This window comes from Homo sapiens, chromosome 19 (genome assembly GCF_000001405.40).
Source record: "Homo sapiens chromosome 19, GRCh38.p14 Primary Assembly".
NCBI lineage: Eukaryota > Metazoa > Chordata > Mammalia > Primates > Hominidae > Homo > Homo sapiens.
In genome coordinates this window covers 20633999-20656067 of record NC_000019.10, presented here as the reverse complement: position 1 = coordinate 20656067, position 22069 = coordinate 20633999, and the positions used below count along the sequence as shown (strand labels likewise).

At 37.2% G+C, this 22069-nt stretch overlaps 1 protein-coding gene across 2 annotated transcripts in view; it reads left to right on the top strand.

Annotated features, from left to right (window-relative positions):
- The window catches only part of ZNF626 (zinc finger protein 626), a 41633-nt gene that overhangs the window by 5504 nt on the left and 14060 nt on the right, over positions 1-22069 (top strand). Inside the window, exons 2-4 of one of the 2 annotated variants that reach the window (NM_145297.4) lie at positions 9663-9789; positions 10289-10384; positions 10620-11369. In NM_145297.4, the coding sequence (NP_660340.1) occupies positions 9663-9789; positions 10289-10384; positions 10620-10672 (276 nt within the window). In that variant the 3' untranslated portion in view covers positions 10673-11369. Of the gene's footprint in view, positions 1-9662; positions 9790-10288; positions 10385-10619; positions 11370-22069 lie in introns of those variants that run through there. The other variant, NM_001076675.3, reaches the window with a different exon arrangement.

Genomic DNA, 22069 nt, shown 5'->3' with positions numbered 1-22069 from the left:
CTCTTCTGGTTTTTCCCCTGTAAACATTATTTCAAGTGCATACAGTGTGCTAATTTCAGATGTCCAAGAGTTCAAACTCTTCAAAAAGTTCCAAAAAAAAATTTTGCTATTCCCTCTTTTCTTTTTTTTTTTTGAGGCAAAGTCTCGCTCTGCCACCCAGGCTGGAGTGCAGTGGCGCGATCTCGGCTCACTGCAACCTCTGCCTCCTGGGTTCACGCCAATCTCCTGCCTCAGCCTCCCAAGTAGCTGGGACTACAGGCACCCGCCACCATGCCCAGCTAATTTTTTTGTTCTTTTTTTTGTATTTTTAGTAGAGACGGGGTTTCACGATGTTTGCCAGGATGGTCTTGATCTCCTGACCTTGTGATCCACCTGCCTTGGCTTCCCAAAGTGTTGGGATTGCAGGCATGAGCCACCGTGCCTGGCCGCTATTCCCTCTTTTCTTAAGGGATTTAGAATATATGTAGATATTTTTCTCTGCTTGTTTGAAATATATGTAAATCATGTCAACAGCTAAATAAAAGTTTTGTCATTTTTTCTGACTCCAGATTATTATAAGTACTTAAGATGTATTGCTTTGTTTTTGGTTCCGAAAAGTTTATTTTTTTGATTTTTATTCCTTTAAGGTAGACACAGATTTGTTTAGATACAAGCTCATTTTAAGAGCACACAGAAGCTTAGCACAAAGATAGGAGTAAAGGTAGCAATACAGAATAATAAAGACTAAATGATACTCAGTTTCTTTGACAGAAACCTGATAATCCAAGGTAACTATCCAATATTTGCAGGCTGAAGTACTTATACTGCGAAAGCAAGAACAGTTCAGGGTATAAACTGAACAGTTGAGTCTGTAGTTGTACCTTGCTTTCTGTTTATTATTTCAGAGCAATTAGCAGTTATCTTTGTAGATAATCTGCATTCATATAAATTAAACCATATTTTCATTTTTTTTTTTTTTGAGACAGTCTCACTCTGTTGCCGAGGCTGGAGTGCAGTTGTGTGATCTCTGCTCCCTACAACTGCTGCCTCCCAGGTTGAAGTGATTCTCCTACCTCAGTACCCTGAGTAGCTGGGTTTACAGGCATGCATCACCATGCCTGGCTGAATTTTTGTATTTATAGTAGAGATGGGGTATTACCATGTTTGCCAGCTTGAACTTGAACTGCTGACCTCAGGTGATCCACCCACCACAGCCTCCCAAAGTGCTGGGATTACAGGCGTGAGCCATAAACAGTATTTTCTAAAATAGTATGAATACAAAGCCACAATATTTACTTTGAATTAATCACTTAAATGGTTATTTTAATACTGTTATTTATGCTTTTGAAATATAAAATGTTTTAACTGAAGTATGGATTTTTTTTTTTCCGGAGTCTCACTCTGTCGTCCGGGCTGGAGTGTCACCATCTTGGCTCACTGCAAGCTCCGCCTCCCGGGTTCATGCCATTCTCCTGCCTCAGCCTCCCGAGTAGCTGGGACTACAGGCGCCTGCCACCACGCCCAGCTAATTTTTTTGTATTTTTAGTAGATACGGGGTTTCACCGTGTTAGCCAGGATGGTCTCAATCTCCTGACCTCATGATCCGCCCACCTCAGCCTCCCAAAGTGCTGGGATTACAGTGTAAGCCACCGCGCCTGGCCTCTGTTGCCCAGGCTGGAGTGCAGTGGTGCGATCTTGGCTCACTGCAACCTCCGCCTCCGAGGTTCAAGCAATTCTCCTGCCTCAGCCTCCCAAGTAGCTGGTAGTACAGTTGTGAGCCACCAGGTCCGGCTAATTTTTTTATATGGTTTTTGTAGAGACAGGGTTTCACTATATTGGCCAGGCTGGTTTTGAACTCCTGACCTCGTGATTCACCTGCCTCGGCCTCCCAAAGTGCTGGGATTACAGGCTTGAGCCACTGCGCCCAGCCTAACTGATGTATGGTTTTAATTTTTTTAATGCTACATACATTATGACTAGTTCATTAAAATTGTTCATACTTAGATATTTATATCTAATATCCAAAGAATATTTACAACCAAATTGTTACAGTTAGTAGATATTAGTCAGACATGTTTATTACTTTATTCATTCAGGATAATTATGAGGAAACACAATTTTAGTATCTTTTATTTCACTAAATTTGTATGCTGCTGTTACAGGACAAATAAAGACAGGTGATGTGGCCACCCAAAAACTATAGTAGCTCTTCAATTAGCTATGTTGCAAGTTCTAATATATTCCAGTATATGAACACAGTCAGATTCTATTTTTTCATCAAAATGTGTTGTTGGAAGTTGTAAGATGTATTTCAATATAGACCCCCATTCAATGGCTAGGAGAGGAGAGAACAGCAGAGATGGAAATGAAACTTTATAAAATTCTTCTGAAAATATGTCCCTGTTCTTTTCCTTTCTTTTTCTTTTTTTCTTTTTCTTTTTTTTTTTGCTGGGAGGGCAGGGGACAGAGTCTCACTCTGTCCCCCAGGCTGGAGTGCAGTGGTGCTATCTGGGCTCACTGCAACCTCTGCTTCCCAGGTTCAAGCGATTATCCTGCTAAACTACCACCTGTTATAAAGAGGTGAAAAGTTTATTTGTCATTGAATATAAGTAATTAGCATACACAGATGTCCTCTTCAATCTCCAGGTGAATTTAGGATGAACTATGTATGACATGGTGCTGGAAATTCTTCTACTTGTGAACTAATTATGGTGACCATCTTTCTATCTTTGCAGTCTCTTAAGCAGATTGACTGATGCATGTCACATTCAAGTTTAATTGTGTAATAAAACCATTTTCTTTCTGTTCTGTTATTGTGGAGTTTCTCTGGGGCTGGAGAAAATTTTTCTTTTAATTATTGTTTCCAAACAGTCTAGAATTACCAGACATGATATAAACACATAAGGGCCAACCAGAATTTACTCGAGGGGACATTCCCTCTCAGGCTTCCAGTAAATTCACACTTGTGCAGAAAAGTGCATGCCATACCCTAAATGTGCAGGCCGAATTGTGTTTCTGCCTATTTCTTATCTATAGTCCTCTACAGTCACTTCTAGAGAGTCTAGATCAGATTTCTATAAATTTCACAGGGCAGCAATCAATCATTTTACCTCTTTCAGTGACTCTTTTATCTTCAAACCTGAAACTGATTCAGAGACCATGGGGCCAACAAACCCAAGTAGAGTAACGTGTGTAGTGAGTAGACATGTAGACAAGAAAATCTCCATTTCTTTCTTCCTTCTCTTGCTAAAAAGCTCACAAATGTGCAGGTAACATGCGTGCTACTCCAGCCACTCAAGCCCTAAATCTGCAGCTCCATATTTTGAATCCAGGTCTTGAGATTTGGGAATTAAAAAACTTTTATCTGAAAAATGCAAGTCCTTTTAGTTATCAAACTCAGAGACGTTAAAATAAAAGTGCAATTATGTCTTTCTCCTCCCTTTGAATTCTGTATTCATCTTTTGAGACTGTTCACTATTGCCACATGTAGCTATAAATTAAACTAATAATGCTACATTGGACACTATATCCCATACCCTAAACTATAATGATATGTATCTAATCAATAATCAATGTTATTTTTGTAAATAAATAGAAATTTCTGACAAACAATTTTGCCCACTCTGTGTTTCTCTTATTGTCTTTACAAATCTTCTTGTAAATGCTGCTACTCAAAGTGTAGATTCCAGGCAACTTTAATCTTTGCTCGCAGGTTATATATAATCTGTAAACTTTACCCAAATAAACTGTCTACTTATATTCATGTTGTGTCAGCTTTTTTTTTTTTTTCATGTAGACTTATCATTTAGAATGTGCTAGAGCAGCCTCTATGGGGGGGATCTCTCCTTCGTTTGTACTCCACTTGCTGTAACACCAAAGGATGCAGAGCCAGGTGGATCCTACCTAGAATCTGCAGATAACATCTGGCCTCTGCCTGGGATTTACAAAAAAGGACCGGACTTTGGATAGAGAATGTACAGAAAACTAAGAAAAGGCATTTTCTGCATTGTGAGATGTCAACCTAGACAGCTTACAGCTCCCATTTGGGAGTGTGGTTCTGTGAGATTTTTCACATCTTGTTCATTGACCTGCTACAGTGATGTGAGAACCTCCAGAAGGAAATAGAATCTGATGACAGAATATGTGTAAGTGTAAAAAAAAAGCATCTTAAGAGTGAGAGAACAAGGCCACAAAATATCCAGTTATGACCACAACTATATTTACCTGTAAAATGTGATACTGGAGTAGAGTATTTGTGTTCTTTCTCTTACACAAGAGCTAGCAAATCAGGACAGGTGATCCAGGTTCTGTAGCTCCACCAAGGCAGTTCTATTTCCTATTTAGAATCAGCCTGAGTCTCTAGCCTGGCTTATCATTGGGCCACCAGCCCCAGGTCACTGGGAATTCTCTCACAATCATCTAGTGGTCTTTGAGACATTTGAGGATGTCCAGAGCAGAATTGTGTCAGGCTGACAAGAGTGGTTAATTCTGCTTCTTTCTCAGTGTAAGAGAAATGAATCATCCTGTTTGTTCATCCCCTCATACAAGAGGTGTCTTAGGTTGGTACCCAGATGAGAGTTTCTCCAGTTTCCTGGTACTGGGATGATAAACAAGGAGGAGATCTGGAGACCCAAACAGATAAACTAGTAGCTTCCATTTCATATGACCGTTAAAATAAAACATGAAGCAGCCATGGTTCCTACAATCCAGAAACTTAGTCTAGACTAGCAACTAGATAAATACTTGAATTATGCATCATATGGTTGGTATAACAAATAGATATGTCCAAAATATTGGACATTATTTGCCACTTTATATTGTTGTGACTTCTGATGTCTGTACTTGAAAGGATATTTATGAACAGAAGAATTGTTGTTATAATTTCTTTTTTTTTTTTTTTTTGATATGGAGTCTCCCTCTGTCACCCAGGCTGGAGTTCAGTGGCACAATCTCGACTCACCACAAACTCTGACATTTGGGTTCAAGTGATTCTCCTGCCTCAGCCTCCCAAGTAGCTGGGATTACAGGTGCCTGCCACCACACCCAGCTAATTTTTGTAATTTTAGTAGAGACGGGGTTTCAAAATCTTGGTTAGTCTGGTCTTGAACTCCTGACCTCGTGATCCACCTACCTCAGCTTCCCAAAGTGTTGAGATTACAGGCATGAGCCACCAGGCCCAGCCGTATTTCTATTTCTTTCATCCTGTTAAGTGAACATATTTGTTTCCTAATAAACTTACCCTTGAAAACCTTAAGGGATTTGTTTAAATTGCATATTAGCATATAATATAAAGTTGACAGGGCAGTGGCTGGAAAAGATTAAAATTACACAGACTCTGGGATTTAAGTTTATTTTAGGTAAGTTTAGAAAAAACAAAACTGGAAATACCCCAGTGACATAGAGAACAGAATTCTACATAGGGTCCACTTCCTGACCCAGTTCTGTTGAGATTCACCCTTTTTGGAGGCCTTATTTACGTCTGACCCTACCCTGGAGTCTTGTCTCACAGGTAGAAGAGGTCAGAGTTTTGGCTGGTGAATCCTGTTGTCTTTCTAGAGCTGGTGCTTAGAATTTCCTGAAATCCAAAAGCAGATAAATGGGAAAAATAAATTATGTGTTATAGGGTCTTAGTTTTTAAATTTTATATTAAAACCAGTGTTTGCAGAGACATTCTATTTAGGGACTTGTTTTCCATTCTTGCATATCCAGTAATTGCTCCACAAGTCACAAAAATGTAAATATAAACAGAATAAAATTTTCTCTGAACTACATTAAACTCTTGCCTTCCATATTTCTTTCATCTGTCTATATTTAGTTTTAATTTTTTATGGTTTTTTTTTTTAACAAATTTGATGGCAGAGAAACAGAAGAAGCAATAAAAATCCTGGGCCCTTTACCTAAATCCTGAAAATTATCATACACTTAGTACCGGCTCCCAGGGTGTTATGAGAATTAAATCACGTAATATGTTACGCCCAGCACAGTGCTCTGTATCATACTCTTGAGCACATAGTACCTGCTTAATAAACATTGCATTAGTACGTGTGTACATGTTGTTTTTTAAATCCAGACTTCTTCAGACATTGCTGCCTTCTGTTTTTTCTGTAAACTTTAAAGAACCAGCAAAGGATATAAAACTTTTGGATGGAGATGGGTTGTCCTTATTTGTACGAGAAGTATTTGGTTGTGACAAGAGTGCTAAGTAATAAGAGACCTTGTGCTGTACCTGCTTTCTCTAACTAATGCTAATGCGCCAAGGGGCGGGGGGAGCAACATCAGCATTGAAAGGGAACTTGTTTAAAACACCCATTCATGGACCCTTTTCAAACCTCCAGAGTCACATTACATAAATTGGGGCCAAAATTACCAAGTGATTTATAAGCTCATTAAAGCTTGAGAGAAAATGCTTAGCTCCGTGGTTATCAACCCAGGCTTCTCATTAGAATCACATGGCCAATTTGCAGAAATTCCTTGTGTCCTCCGCACAGCTTCTGTTTATTGTTCTGGGTGGAAGCATCCATGGAGTCCCTTATGTGACTCTAAGGTGAGACCAGAACCAAGTATGAGGGGTTCAAAATACATTCATGAGAGTTAAGTTCCACCTTTGCCCTAAAGGGTGGTCACAGGGCCTGTTCTGTTTGCGTTTGGTAGGGACAAGTCAGTGTGGCGCTTATTTCCATTACTGTAGCAGAAATGGCTGGTGTCCGTGGCAGGGGAGAGCATCTGAGGACAGCAAAGAGAAATTTATATTTTTATCTTCATGGAGCAGCTCATTGTTCCTGAATGTCTTCTGTTGTAAAGGACAGAAATGGGTGGACTTTTTCTGTCTTTATTTTTCTGCCAGTTGATGTTATGCTAGCAGGTAAACATGTGGTACTGACACCTTTAAAGACATAGTCTCAAGATAACAGGTGTAACTTGTCTAGAGAATCTCATCTGAGAAGGAATCCAGAGAAGGAGGAGAAAGAAAAAAAAGTGGCTTTTCTTCAGGTAAACATGTGTCAGATGAAGAGCTATGTCGACTCTGCCTCCTGGACTGCCATGCGTTTAGTACTCACAAACCTTTACTTGTCTACTTGTGTTTTTCCTCCCTAATGAGTTTGGCTTAATTACTTCTTTAAATTCTTACGATAGTCAAGAGTCTGAAAAATATTTCTTTCCTATATTTCAGAGCCTTCTCCTTATTCTCCGCATCATAGCTTCTTATATGCCATGCAGAATTCTCAGCAAGAATTTATGATCTGCAATATTAAAAATGTTCCCTTTGTGGCTGTTGAACATGGAAAGATGTGGATACTCAAGATTTCTATTGGGGAAAACTGTGGTCCTTAGTAAAGATGGAGAACATGTAATGTTGAGGCTCCAGCTGTGTGTTCCATTAGCTCTATGCAGAAGAGGATTAAGAAAATGCTGATTTAGGCCAGGTGCCGTGGCTCACACCTATAATCCCAGCACTTTGGGAGGCTGAGGCAGGTGGATCATGCAGGAGATCAAGACCATCCTGGTCAACATGGTGAAACTCTGTCTCTACTAAAATACAAAAAATTTGCTGGGCTTGGTGGCAGGCGCCTGTAGTCCCAGCTACTTGGTAGGCTGATGCAGGAGAATGGCGTGAACCTGGGAGGCAGAGCTTGCAGTGAGCCGAGATTGCGCCACTGCACTCCAGCCTGGGCAACAGAGCCAGACTCCATCTCAGAAAAAAAAAAAAGAAGAAGAAGAAGAAGAAGAAAATGCTTATTTAAATGGGATGGCATTTATTACCCAGAAAGTTCTGAAAAAAATTATTAGGAGATACCTGCTCTTTAGGATGCTAAATGAAGCCTACTTAAAATTACTACTAAAAGTTACTGAACATAGAGTTTTCTGTATTTTAAAGTTTGTATACAACTGATGATTCTTTTTTTTTTTTTTTTGACACGGAGTCTGGCTTTGTCACTGAGGCTGGAGCACAGTGGCATGATCTCGGCTCACCACAACCTTCACCTCCCAGGTTCAAGCAATTCTGCCTTAGCATGCTGAGTAGCCAGGATTACAGGTGCTTGCCACAACACCCGGCTAATTTTTGTATTTTTAATAGAGATGGGGTTATACCATGTTAGTCATGCTGGTCTCGAACTCCTGACCTTGTGATCCTCCCGCCGCAGCCTCCCAAATTGCTATCACAGGCATGAGCCACCATGCCTGGCCTAAAACTGATGTTTATGGTTACATTCGGACTATAATTTACTTTTTTTGGGAGGAATATTACAACAGTGATGCTGTGTTCTTCTGTGTGCATTAGCACATCATAAAAATTTGTCCTAGGCCGGGCGCAGTGGCTCACACCTGTAATCCCAGCACTTTGGGAGGCCGAGGTGGGTGGATCACGAGGTCAGGAGATCGAGACCATCCCGGCTAACACGGTGAAACCCTGTCTCTACTAAAAATACAAAAAATTAGCCAGGCATGGTGGCGGGTGCCTGTAGTCCCAGCTACTCGGGAGGCTGAGGCAGGAGAATGGCGTGAACCTGGGAGGTGGAGCTTGCAGTGAGCCGAGACTGCGCCACTGCACTCCAGCCTGGGCGACAGAGCAAGACTCCGTCTCAAAAAAAAAAAAAAAAAAAACCATTGTCCTAGTGCAGTTAACAGTTAATGCATTAACCATTAATTAATTGGTTAAAGATCTCTGGGACATATTTTTTTCACTATAGAGTTAATTATTTTTCCTCTTTATTATTACGTATCTTTATGCAGCTGATGTGCATAAACCATCACATTTAATCTGGCAACTGTCCTTATTTTTTTTTCTACACATGTTTCTTTGGTAAATGAGGGCTGTTTGTTTACAGGCTAGAAAAAGTGGGAAAAACACAGGCTGTTCCACTTACTAAATGTTTGACAAAATATCCTTCTTGGGCCAAAGACATTGGCATTACTGTTGAGCTTATTAGAAATTCACCACATTGGCCAGGTGTGGTTTCTCCACCTGTAATCCCAACACTTTAGGAGGCCAAAGTGGGCAGATCACCTGAGGTAGGGAGTTCAAGACCAGCCTGACCAACATAAACACCATCTCTACTAAAACTACGAAAAAAATTACCGGGTGCGGTGATGCATGTCTGTAATCCCAGCTACTCAGGAGGCAGAGGCAGGAGAATTGCTTGAACCCGGGAGGCGGAGGTGGCGGTGAGCTGAGATGGCACCATTTCACTCCAGCTTGGGCAACAAGAGCGAAACTCCATCTCTAAATAAATAAATAAATAAATAAATCAGACTTTATTCCAGATCTTCTGGGGGAAAAAAAACCTGCATAACGATGTCTTCAGCTTATTGTACATATTAAAACTTTAGAGATGCCTTCTAACTAAACATGTCTTTTCCATCTGAAAAATATTCACAACTCATTCTGTATAATGTAACTATAGCACTGAAAAATTTACATGTTCCTGTTCTTGCCCTTAATTTTATACTTTATTATCTAGAAACATACATGAATTGATGTTGTGGATCTTATGCTGCTCTTTCTTCTCAGAGTTAGAGAATACATTAGAGAATATTTCTGTTTTGAAATCATTTTATTGGATAATTTTAGTCAGTCCTATAAGTCAGAACCAGTTCTCTTTACTCTCTTATTTCACCTTAAGTCAAATTAAAAATTCCGCCCATGGCCACTTGGTAAAAATGTGTGTGTGTGTGTTTTTCAGGGACCATTGCAATTTAGAGATGTGGCCATAGAATTCTCTCTGGAGGAGTGGCATTGCCTGGACACTGCACAGCGGAATTTATATAGGAATGTGATGTTAGAGAACTACAGTAACCTGGTCTTCCTTGGTGAGGATAACTTGAGTACATAATATACCCTATAGATTTTATTTATTTATTTTTTGTAGAATGTTTTTTAGTAATTTATTCTTTGCATAAAAGAGTTTCAGATCCCCATTTTCCAGAAAATCTTCAGAATTTGTTCGTTTAGAAAAGAATTTCTTCAACATGTTTTATCTTAATCCAAACTTTCCACTTTCCTGAGTTGAGCTGTATTTTTCACTCTAAATTAGTGGTAATTCCAGAAATTTAGTGGCATAAAATATTGTTGCTCCACCTGAAAATCTAATTGCCACCACCAATTTTTGATTCAGTAGCACCAGGTAGTAAAATTAAGAAACCTACAAATTGAAAGTATTTTCTAATTATTTAAAAATTTCTGTTACAACTTAGTATTTTTGTATTAATTTACTAGAATATTTTATCACATCCTCTGTGCTGAGCACATTACTAGCTTGTAATTGGAGAACATAAGCAAGATTTATGTTATTTATTTTTAATAAAACAGGTATTACTGTTTCTAAGCCAGACCTGATCACCTGTCTGGAGCAAGGAAGAAAACCTTTGACCATGAAGAGAAATGAGATGATAGCCAAACCCTCAGGTAGGTGTGAGTGAAAATGAATACAACAGATGACACAGATAAGGGGTCCCAAGGTCAAAGAGAAAGCCAGTCCTTAAAGTGTGATTTGGGGAGCTGTGTTCCAAAGGAAATAGTTCTTGGGCAGCTATTTTTTGTTTGTTTGTTTGTTTGGTTTTTTCTTTTTTAATTTTGCTTACAAAGGGGCATCTTCTGTCTTATGCTTTTAAATTCTCTAAGGATTTTCCTTTTCTTTCAGTGAGCTTCCTTCAAGTTCACAGTGAGAGCCAAAGTCCTCTTCATGACATATAAGAGACTGCACAGTGTGGCTGCTTTTCCATAATTTTTGGGACGCACAAATGTCTGCATGATTTTGAGAAACTAAAATTACTCTCAAAGTTCTCTTTGCATCAGATCTGAAATGTCTGAGAGTAATAGTTTCTGTTGAATTTTTTTTTGTTCATTTTTCTGCACAGTCCATTCTGTTTTTATTACTATCTAGGCTTGAAATATATAGTTTGAAATTATGACATCCTTCCTCTTTGTTATTTTCCTCATGATTGCTTTGGCTATTCAAAGTTTATTTTAGTTTCATGTAAATTTTTGAATTGTATTTTCCATTATTGTGAAAATAGTACCACTGCAATTTTAATAGGAAGTTTATTGAATCTATAGATTACTTTGGATAATATGGCACTTCAATAATATTCATGTTTTCAATTCATAGACAAAATATTTTAAAATTTATTTGTATCTTTTCTAACTTTTCCTTTTTTTATTGTAAAGATTTACCTCCTTGGTTAATATTTTCCTCAGAAATTTATTATTTAAGGTATAGTCAATAAAATTTTCTTCCTCTATTTTGTCAGATAGTTTAAGTGTATGAAACCATAGATATACTTGTATGTTAATTTTATATTTTGCTAATTTACTGAGTGTATTTATTAGTTTAGAGAGGTTTTAATGTACTGTTTATGGTTTTTTAAATATAAGATTACTTATTTTTTAATTTCAATGGATTTATTTATTTCTTTGACTAATTCTTCTGCCCATACTTCCAGTGCTACATTAAAATAGAAGCATTGAAAATGGGCACAATATAGTTTTGTATTGGTGTTTGAATTTGATGGAGCAGACACCTCTTCAAGTTTTCATAAACTGATTTTAGATTGTAAAGATTTTCTTTTATTGGGCCCTTAGGGTGATGAGATGCCCTCTGAATTTGTAGTGAAGAGGGGTTGTAGCTTGGTCACAAGGCTGCTGGGTCTCCATTAGGTTTCATCTTCAGTTGGCTTGTTACAGGGGCTTGGGTAGTTGTAATTTCCATTTTATTTTTGGACAGACTGCATATCCTTCGGGACTTTGCTCTGTAGGGCAGACACTAGGGCATGTTTTTGCAGTCAGGTCTGCAGATGCTGGGCCTTAAATCAGGATGTGGATGAGTGTGGCTTTCAGTGAGTACCAGAGAGCATTTCCTCAGGTAACTGTGTGGGTTTCTATATAGGCAGGACTGACCATGAACTGTGGCTCGTGTAACGGAAACTGAGTCAGTGAACTGTTTCAGGGACCATGGTAAAGGCCAAGGTATGCAGGCCTGCCTACATGGCTGTAAATAGATGCCTTCCTCCAGGTCTCTGGAATAGCAGGACCTCTGCCAGACTCTGGCTTGGGAGGAGTTTGTGGTGGCTACAGAGTAAGTTCAGAATTCTCAGTGGGACCAAGTTGGGTGAACCCTATCCTGGTCTGTAGCCAAGAACAGGGGTCCTGTAATTTCCCACCTGAATGAGGGCCTGCCTTCTGAATAGAACACGTCTCGAACTTCAGCTTTAATAGGGTTTCACAACTGCATCCCTGGATCTCACATCTCTCTTAGAGGCACTTATTTTGGAGATGACGTCTTGCTACATAACCAAGGCTGGTCTCAAAATCCTGGCCTGAAGCATTTCTCTCCAACAGTAATGTACCATGTAGCTGTCATTACAGATGTGAACCATAATGCCTGGTTGTCTCATAAAGTCATTTTTGGTCAGGGATGGCTGACTTTTTTTGCTATAAGGGGATATGAAAATAGAGCACTTTTATTATTTTCATCTTACTGATGTCACTCTCCTTATACCTTTTTTCTTTCTATATTCTATTTCAAATTTGTAATTTTAGATTCAGTTATTTAGGATAATATGCTAGAATTTGCATGGTATGCTGAAAGTAAATTAGATAATTAGTAAGCACTCCATATTTATGAAAATAGTTACTAAATATAAACATAGTTACTAGTTATAAGTAGTTATAAAATTATGGAATTTTCATCTACTTTCTTCACCCTGTATATAAATAATGAGTTTATTTCCTAATATTTGTTTTACATATCAGAGGGTCTAACCCTATTCTCCAAAATATATATATATTTTTTTCTGTGTTTAACAATGTAAGGCTATTCTTTGCTTCTAAAGTTAGAATACAGCAGTTTCGTTTTGTGTAAGAATAGCATATATTTAAAACATAAAAAGAAACTCCAGTTTCTTTTAAATGCTAATTTATTAAGTTTCTCATTAGAATCTATTTATAATTATACTGCATATTCTCAAAATTTTACTGCTACACAGTGCATGCCAATGATTCAAAATACCTGTATATGATGAGTACATAATACTAGTTAAAGATTGCAGTTACTTCAACAAATTTTTTTTTTTTTTTTTTGAGAAGGAGTTACCCTCTCTCATCCAGACTGGAGTGCAGTGGTGCGATCTTGGCTCACTGCAACCTTCACCTTCCGGGTTCAAGCAGTTCTCATGCCTCATCCTCCCAAGTAGCTGGGATTACAGGCATGTGCCACTATGCCTGGTAATTTTTGTATTTTTAGTAGAGATGGGGTTTCATCATGTTGACAGACTGGTTGACCTGACCTCAGGTGATCCGCCCGCCTCAGCCTCCCAAAGTGCGAGACTACAGGCATGAGCCACCGCGCCTGGCCTGACAAATTTTCGTAATGATACTTCCATGTGTTACACCAGATTTTATGAGTAAACATTTGTCTTATTGTTTGAAGTTCTGTATTAGCATGTTTCTTCAGTGTAGTTTTTTTGTTTGTTGTTGCTGCTGTTGTTGTTGTTTTGAGAGGAAGTTTCGCCATGTTGCTCAGGCTAAAGTGCACTGGCGCGATCTCAGCTCACTGCAACCTCCGCCTTCCAAGTTCAAGCCATTCTTCTGCCTCAGCCTCCGGAATAGCTGGGACTACAGGCACGCCACCACCCCCGGCCAATTCTTGCATTATTATTCGAGATGGTGTTTCACCATATTGTTCAGGCTAATCTCAAACTTCTGACCTTGTGATCTGCCCACCTTGGCCTTCCAAAGTGCTGCAATTATAGTCATGAGCCACTGCGCCTGGTCTCAGTGTAGGTTTCTTAACATCAGTTTATTGTGCCTATTGGTTTTACTTATGTATTATAATTTTAGAGAATTTGCAATTCTGTTTGTACACTTTAAGTCCATTTGAGGCTTAAGAGATAAATTGCACGTGTCTATCACAATCAGATTACATATGTATGTGTGTGTTTATCTATAAATATGACCCCAGTTTTAGTTATGGCTTATCTTATATTCTTAGCTGATTTTTGATGGTAGTTTTATCTTGTCTAAGTGAGTAGTCATGAAGATAGTCTTATTTTCAACATGGGTTTAATGATGAATATATATTTCCTTTTGTGAGAGAAACAGTTTTGTGATTTGAAGGTAATTTTCAAAAAGATTAATAATTCTGGATTTTTTTCAGTTTTTTTTTTTAAACATTGTTTTAAAAACACGTAACATAACATTTACCATCTTAAATTTATTGAAGTGTATATTTCAGGGCCAGGCATGGTTGTGGCTCTCTTCTGTAATCCCAGGATTTTGGGAGGCCAAGACAGGAGGATTCCTGGAGCCCAGAAGTTTGAGACCAGCCTGGGGAACATATGGAGACCCCTTTCTATAAAAAAAAAAATTAATAAGAGTCAGGCATCGTGGTGTGCAGCTGTGGTCCCAGCTACATGGGAGATTGAGCTGGAGTCAAAATTGTGCCACTACACACCAGCTTGGGTGACAGAGTGAGACCCTGTCTCAAAATAAACAAGCTGTTCATTTCAGGCATGTTAAGTATATTCACATTGTTATGCAAAAGACTCCTAGAAATTTTACATCTTGCAAAACTAAAACTCAATACCCATGAAATAACAACTGCTAATTTTACCCTCTCTCCAGCCCTTGACAGACAAAATTTCCACTTTCTATTTTTATGATTTTGACTACTTAAGGTATCTCATATAAGTGGAATCGTACAGTATCCATAATTTTGTTACTGGATTATTCAAGTGACATAATATTCTCAATGTTTATCTTAAAATGTGACAAGATTGTTTTATTTAAGGTGGAATAATATTCCATTTTATGTATATGTTATATTTTTTGACGTATTTTTAAATCAAGAGACATCTGGGTTGCTTCAGCCTTTTGGCTTTTTTGAATACTGGTATAATAAAGATAGATTTTCAAATATGTCTTCCAGGTCCTGTGTTGCTTTTTTTTTTTTTTTTTGAGATGGAGTCTCACTCTGTCACCCACGCTAGAGTGCAGTGGTGTGGTCTCGTCTAACTGCAATCTCTGCCTTCTGGGTTCAAGCGATTCTCCTGCTTCAGCCTCCCAAGTAACTGGGATTTTAGGCGCCCACGACCATGCCCAGCTAGTTTTTTGTATTTTTAGTAGAGACAGGGACAGCCTGGTCTCAAACTCCTGGCCTCAGGTGATCTGCCCCTACCTTGGCCTCCCAAATTGCTAGGATTACGGGCTTGAGCCACTGTGCCTGGCTTTTTTTACGTATTTTGGATATAGATTTATAAATGAGAAACATTTATAACTTTTTAAAATAATGACTGCACCTTTGTTATCCACCAACATTCAACTTAGGTTTCATTTTTATTGCATCATCAACAGATTTGGTGTTTTTAAAAAAATTTATAGTGGCCATTCTAATGTGTGTGAGGTGATTTTGTTTGTCATTGTGTTTTTTTTTTTCATTTCTCTATAAACTAGTAATTTTCTGTGTCCTTTCAAATGCTTTTTCTCATTTGTGTACTTTTCTAATAAAAATTTCATTTGTCCATTTCTAAATTAAGTTATTCATCATTGTTTAGTTTTAAGGGTTGTTTATATATTTTGAATATTAATTTCTGTCACATGTAATATGCAAATGTTTTACCCATTTTCTAAGGGATGTTGTTACTCTTGAATTGTTTCTAATATGCAGAAATTTTGAAGTCTAGTGTAAACTTTTCTGTTTCATTTGTTGCTCAGGCATTTAATTTTGTATCTAAGAAAATTGTGCCAAACCAGTGTCATGTCTTTTTCCCGTATTTTTTCCTAAAAGATTTGTTAGTTATTTTATTAAACTATTTTTAATAATTAAATTAATAATTTTAATAATTAAAATTAATAATTTAATTATTTAAATAATTGAATTTAATATTAAAAAATTAAAATATTTTAAATAATATTTTATTAAAAATATATTTTTGTAACATTCAAGGAAATAATCCAACTTTATTTTATCGGTGTTGATATTCACTTTTCAACATCATTTTTTGAAGAGATTATTTTTCTCCATTTTTTACTCATGGCAACTTTGTGGAAGATCATTTCATCATATACAGAAGGGTTCATTTCTGAGCTCTCCATTCTGTTCTTTCATCAGTTTATCTTTGTGTCAGTATCACATTGTTTATGTTCTGTAGCTTTTAACTCTAGATTTTATTGACATTTTGTGAAAAATGAAATTTTTTGACCCCTGAGCAAGAATATGTTGAAGAGTGTGTTTCATATACACAGTTTTGAATTTGCCAGTTTGACTTTTGCTTTTAATTCCTAGTTTCATTCAGTTTTTATTAGAAAACACACAGTGTGTAATTTTAGTCTTTTTTAAATGATTGTTTTTGTTGTTTTGAGGCAAGATTTTACTGTCACCTCGTGTGAAGTGCAGTGGCATAATTTTGGCTCTCTGTAGCCTCAGCCTCCTGGGCTCAAGTGATCCTTTTACCTCAGTTTTCTGAGTAGCTAGGACTACAGATACGCACTAGATGTCTGTTTAATGGTTGGTTTGTTTGTAGTGTTCGGATCTGACTACGTTGCCCAGGCTGGTCTTAAACTTTTGGCACCAATGGATCCTCTTACCTTGATCTCCCAAAGTGTTAGGATTGTAGGCAACAGCCATTTCACCCAATCAGTATTTTTGAATTTAATAAAACTTGGTATGTGTCCTAACAGAATACACCAGATGCAAATAAGAATATTTTGTATTATCTTGGTTTTGACTGGAAAGTTTTGTATGCATCTGTGAAGCCTAGTTGGTCTATAATATGGTTTGGATATCCATGTTCTCCAAACCTCATGCTGCAGTATAAATCCTTAATGTTGGATGTAGGACCTGGTGGGACATGTTTGGGTCACAGGGGCAAATTTCTCATGAATGGCTGGTACATTTTCTTGGTAACCAAAAAGTTTATGCTCTATTGATTCAAATGAGAGTAGGTTCCTTAAAAGAACCTGGCTCCTTCACCTCACACTTGCTCTGTCTCTTACCATATAATACATCCAGTTACTCTTTATTTTTCACCATGATTGTAAGTTTCCTGAGATCTTCACCAGAAGCAGTTGTTGACACACACTTCTTATACAGTCTGCCAAACTGTGAGCCAAATATACCCCTTTTTGTTATAAATAACGTACTCTCAATTATTCCTCTATTTGCAAAATAAATAACATAGTCTATAATGTTTTCTAAGTTTCCTGTTTCTTATTTTTTTTCTGAATTTTCCATTTACTGCAAATGGGGTCTTGATGTCTACAATGATTATGTTGCTATGTATGTCTTCCTTCACTTTTGTCAATATTTGCTTTATGTATTTTGGAGCCCTGATGTTATATACACATATACATATAGAAAGATAAATATTATAGTTATAGATTTCTGCTACATCAACTAACTTTGTCATAATATAATATCAGTCTTTGTCTCATAGTAGTACATGACTTAAAGCATGTTATGTCTAATTATGACTACCCCACTCAATTGTGGTTACTATTTTCATGGAATATACGTTTTTCCATTCTGTTACTTCAGCCTATTTGACTGAATGCTAAAATGAGTCTCTTATAGGCAGCATACTGATTGCTTTTTAAAAAAACCACTCAGGCTTTCTATTTCTTTTTCTCTATATAATTTTATTTATTTATTTATTTATTTATTTATTTAGACATGCAGTTTTGCTCTTGTTGCCCAGGCTGCAGTGCAGTGGTGCAATCTCAGTTCACTGCAGCCTCCACCTCCTGGGTTTAAGCAATTCTCCTGCCTCAGCCTCCAGAGTAGCTGGGATTACAGGTGCCCGCCACCATGCCCAGCTAATTTTTTTATATTTTTAGTAGAGACAGGGTTTCACCGTGTTGGCCAGGCTGGTCTTGAACTCCTGACTTCAGATGATCTGCCCATTTCGGCCTCCCAAAGTGCTGGGATTACAGGCATGAGCCACCACGCCTGGCCTCATTTATTTTTGAAATAGGGCCTCACTCTGTCAACCAGGCTGATTTGCATGTCTCACTGCTATCCAGACCTCCCAAACTCAGATTATCCTCTCATTTTAGCCTCTCAAGTAGCTGGGTTACTAGTATGTGCCATCACACCCAAATAGCTTTTTTGTATTTTTTGTAGAGACAGAGTTTTGCCATGTTGCCCAGGCTGGTCTTGAACTCCTGGGATCAAGTGATCAGCCTACGTTGGCCTTCCAAAGTCCTAAGATTACATTTTATTTTATTAAGTAGTTTAATTAATTTATATTTAAAATGATTGCTTAAAGAAATGAAGTTGTTATTTCCAGTTACGTTATTATTGTTTTGTGTGTTTCTAGTAGTTTTATTTTTCTCATTTCCTGTTTTACTTTCTTAATTTTTATTTAATTTTGTACTGGCATGCATTATTTTTTATTTTCTTTTGCACACTTTCTATAAATATTATCTTTGTAATCATCTTGAAAGCTGGAGATTACATACATCTTAAAGTTAAAACAATATGTTTTAATTTTATAACAACTTCAATTTAATACAAAAACTATGTCTCTACATTTTCCAGTTTTTTATTGATATTAAAATTATTTTATATGGTATATTAACAAATTTAGGCAGAATTTTTTTTTTTTTTTTGAGACAGAGTGTCACTCTGTTGTCCAGGCAGGAATGCAATGGCACAATCTTGGCTCACTGCAGCCTCCATCTCCCAGGTACAAGTGATTCTCCTGCCTCAGCCTCCCGTGTAGCTGGGATTACAGGTGTGCACCACTATGCCCGGCTAATTTTTGTATTTTTAGTAGAGACAGGGTTTCACCATGTTGGCCAGGCTGGTCTCGAAGTCCTGGCCTTGTGATTCCCCCCTTGGCCTTCCAAAGCACTGGGCTTACAGGCATGAGCCACTGCGCCCAGCCGATTTATGCACATTTACATATTGTTTTTTATATTCTATAAAAGAACTTTAAAGGTTTTATGAATAATCATTTCGATTTTGTTTTTTGTTTTGTTTTGTTTTGTTTTTTGAGATTGAGTCTCACTCTATGGCCCAGGATGGAGTGTGGTGGGCACCATTGCACTGGGCCTTTTTTTTTTTTTTTTTTTTGAGATGGAGTCTTTCTCTGTCACAGGCTGGAGTACCGTGGCATGATTTTGGCTCATTACAGTCGCCACCTCCTTGATTCAAGAAATTCTCCTGCCTTGTCCTCCTCAGTAGCTGGGACAACAGGAATGTGCCACCATGCCCAAATAATTTTTGCACTTTTAGTACAAACGGTGTTTCACCATGTTATTCAGGCTGGTCTTGGACTCCTGACCTCAGACAATCCACCCACCTTGGCCTCCCAAAGTGTTGGGATTACAGGCGTGAGCCAGGGAGCACAACCCTGTATATTATATCTTGTAGGACTGTGCCAATGGTGATGAACAGTCTCAACTTTTATTTTGGAAAGTCTTTATTTTTATATTCTTTTTGAAGTAAAATAATTTTGAATCGAGTATTACTGGTTAGAAGTTTTTGTTGTTGTTACATCAAAATTTGGGAAGTTCTCAGCTTTTTTTTTTTAAATCTTCAAGTAACCTCTGTATTACTTTACCTTATATTTTAAGAGTCCTTTCATGAATACATTGATCTACTTGTTTTACATCCCATGTTTTAATTTTTTTGTAATTTAATATTTTGTGTTATATATTTTTGGGAATGTCACATCACATCATTTAATTATGTGTTGATTTTTTAGTTTATATTATAATTGTATATAACAATATATTTTTTAGTTTATAATTGTATGTAACAATATTTAACTGTACAATTTAAGACAGTGAAGAGCAAAATTAAATATGAAAAAGCCATGTATCTATTGCCAATATAATTGTTTCTGTGTTTCTTTGCCTGTATAAATATTATCCCTGTAGCTTTGTGTCACTTGTATATTTGTTTTGTAGGTATGGTGTAACAGGTTTTTGGTTTTGGTTTTGGTTTTGGTTTTTTTGAGAGGGAATTTCACTCTTGTTATGCAGGCTGCAGTACAATGGTGGGATCTCAGCTCACTGAAACCTCCAACTTCTAGGTTCATGCCATTCTCCTACCTCAGCCTCCTGAGTAGCTGGGATTACAGGAATGTGCCACCACACCCGGCTAATTTTGTACTTTTAGTAGAGACAGGGTTTCACCATTTTGGTCAGGTTGGTCTCAAACTCCTGACCTCAGGTGGTCTGCCTGCCTCGGCCTCCCAAAGTGCTGGGATTACAGGCATGAGCCACTTCGCCTGGCCTGTAACAGTTTTTTTAATCCTGTCTAGGTGAGTAGTCATAAAATCTCTCCCAATTTCAGCGTCTATTTATTTTTGAATCTATATTAATTTTGTGCCAGAGAAACATTTTTGGATTTGAAGATAATTTAAAAACAATAATTACTCTGTATCTCTTTTAGGTATTATTGTTTATTTTTACTTATGCGTTATGTGTCAAAAACACATAACAAAATTAACAATAAAATTTTCTAGGCTGGGCGCGGTGGCTTATGCCTGTAATCCCGTCACTTTCAAAGGCCGAGGTGGGTGGATCACGGTGTCAGAAGATTGAGACCATCCTGGCCAACATGGTGAAACCCTGTCTCTACTAAAATACAAAAAATTAGCCAGGCGTGGTGGTGATCACCTGTAATTCCAGCTACTGAGAAGGCTGAGGCAGAGGAATCACTTAAACCCAGGAGGCGGAGGTTGCAGTGAGCTGAGATAATGCCACTGCAGTTTTGCCTGAGAGTTAGAGTGACAAGTATATATTTCTAAATATTCAGTTTGGTCATATTAATTATATAGACATTGTTATGCAACATCACTAGAATGTTTTTATCTTGCAAAGCTAAATCTCACTACACATTAAACAACTACCAATTCATCCAATTTCGTGGCACTTTTCAAACACCACTCTGTTTTCTGTTTCTAGGAGTATAACTGCTTTACATATCTCATATAATCTCTGTCTTTTTCTGGCTGGCTTATTTTATTTTGCATAATGTCATCAATATTTATCTTAATAGTTAGACTATTTTCTGCTATTTGAAAACTGAATGAGATTCCAGTATTTTTCTACCTACTGAATGATTTGATGACAGAAATTTGTATTGTTTTAACCTGTTGGCTTTCAGTAACAATGCTGCAATAATTATGTGAAAGCTAACATATGTGCTGCATTCTGTTTTATTGTTCTACTTTTTCACTTTTATACTCATACCAAATTGTTTTAATTCTGTAGCTTTTTGATGTGTTTAGAAATCAGAAATTGTAATGCCTCCAACATTATTCCTTGAAGATTATTGAGTACTTTATTAACTCTTTAGATTCCATATACTTTTGGATTTGCTGTTTTTATTCAAAAGTGCAATGAGAAATTTGAAAAATGGTGCATTAATTCTGTAGATTAAATTGAACAGTATAGACATCTTCACAATATTACTCCTTTTTCGATTGTTTGTTTTTGAGATGGAGTTAAATTCACCCACCTCAGCCTCCCAAAGTGCTGGGATTACAGGCCTGAGCCACCGCACCCAGCCAGTTATTTCAACAAGTGCATGCTTAATACTGTGTTGTATCATTTCTAAATATTTTTAAATTTATCAATTATTTATATTATTGTTTTATACTCTAATTCCATTTTTGTCATAGAAAGTGATCTATAAAATTTCAGTTTTAAAAAATGTGTTAAGGCTTTGTTTTTGGCCTAACAGGTGGTCTATAAAGAAGAAAGTTGTATGAGGTAATGAGAAGGCTGTGTATCCTGATGTTGTCGAGGAGTGTTCTCTATACCTTCATTAGAAATAATTGTTTTTTTACTGCCTTCTAGTCTTCTGTTTCCTTACTAATATTCTCTCTTGTTTTATTACAGAAAGTGGAGTATTGAAATATCCTACTATAATTGTATTGCTCTCTTTGTGTTTATTCAGTTTTGTTAGTATTTGCTTTATATAGCTGAAACCCCAATATGAGACACACACACATAAATACACACATGTATATACAAATTTGTAATAGGTTCCCAGTGAATGAATCTAATGTCCTTCTTTGTCTTTTTGAAGTTTTGACTTAAATACACTTTATAAAGTATGACAGTTTTTAACTTAACTTG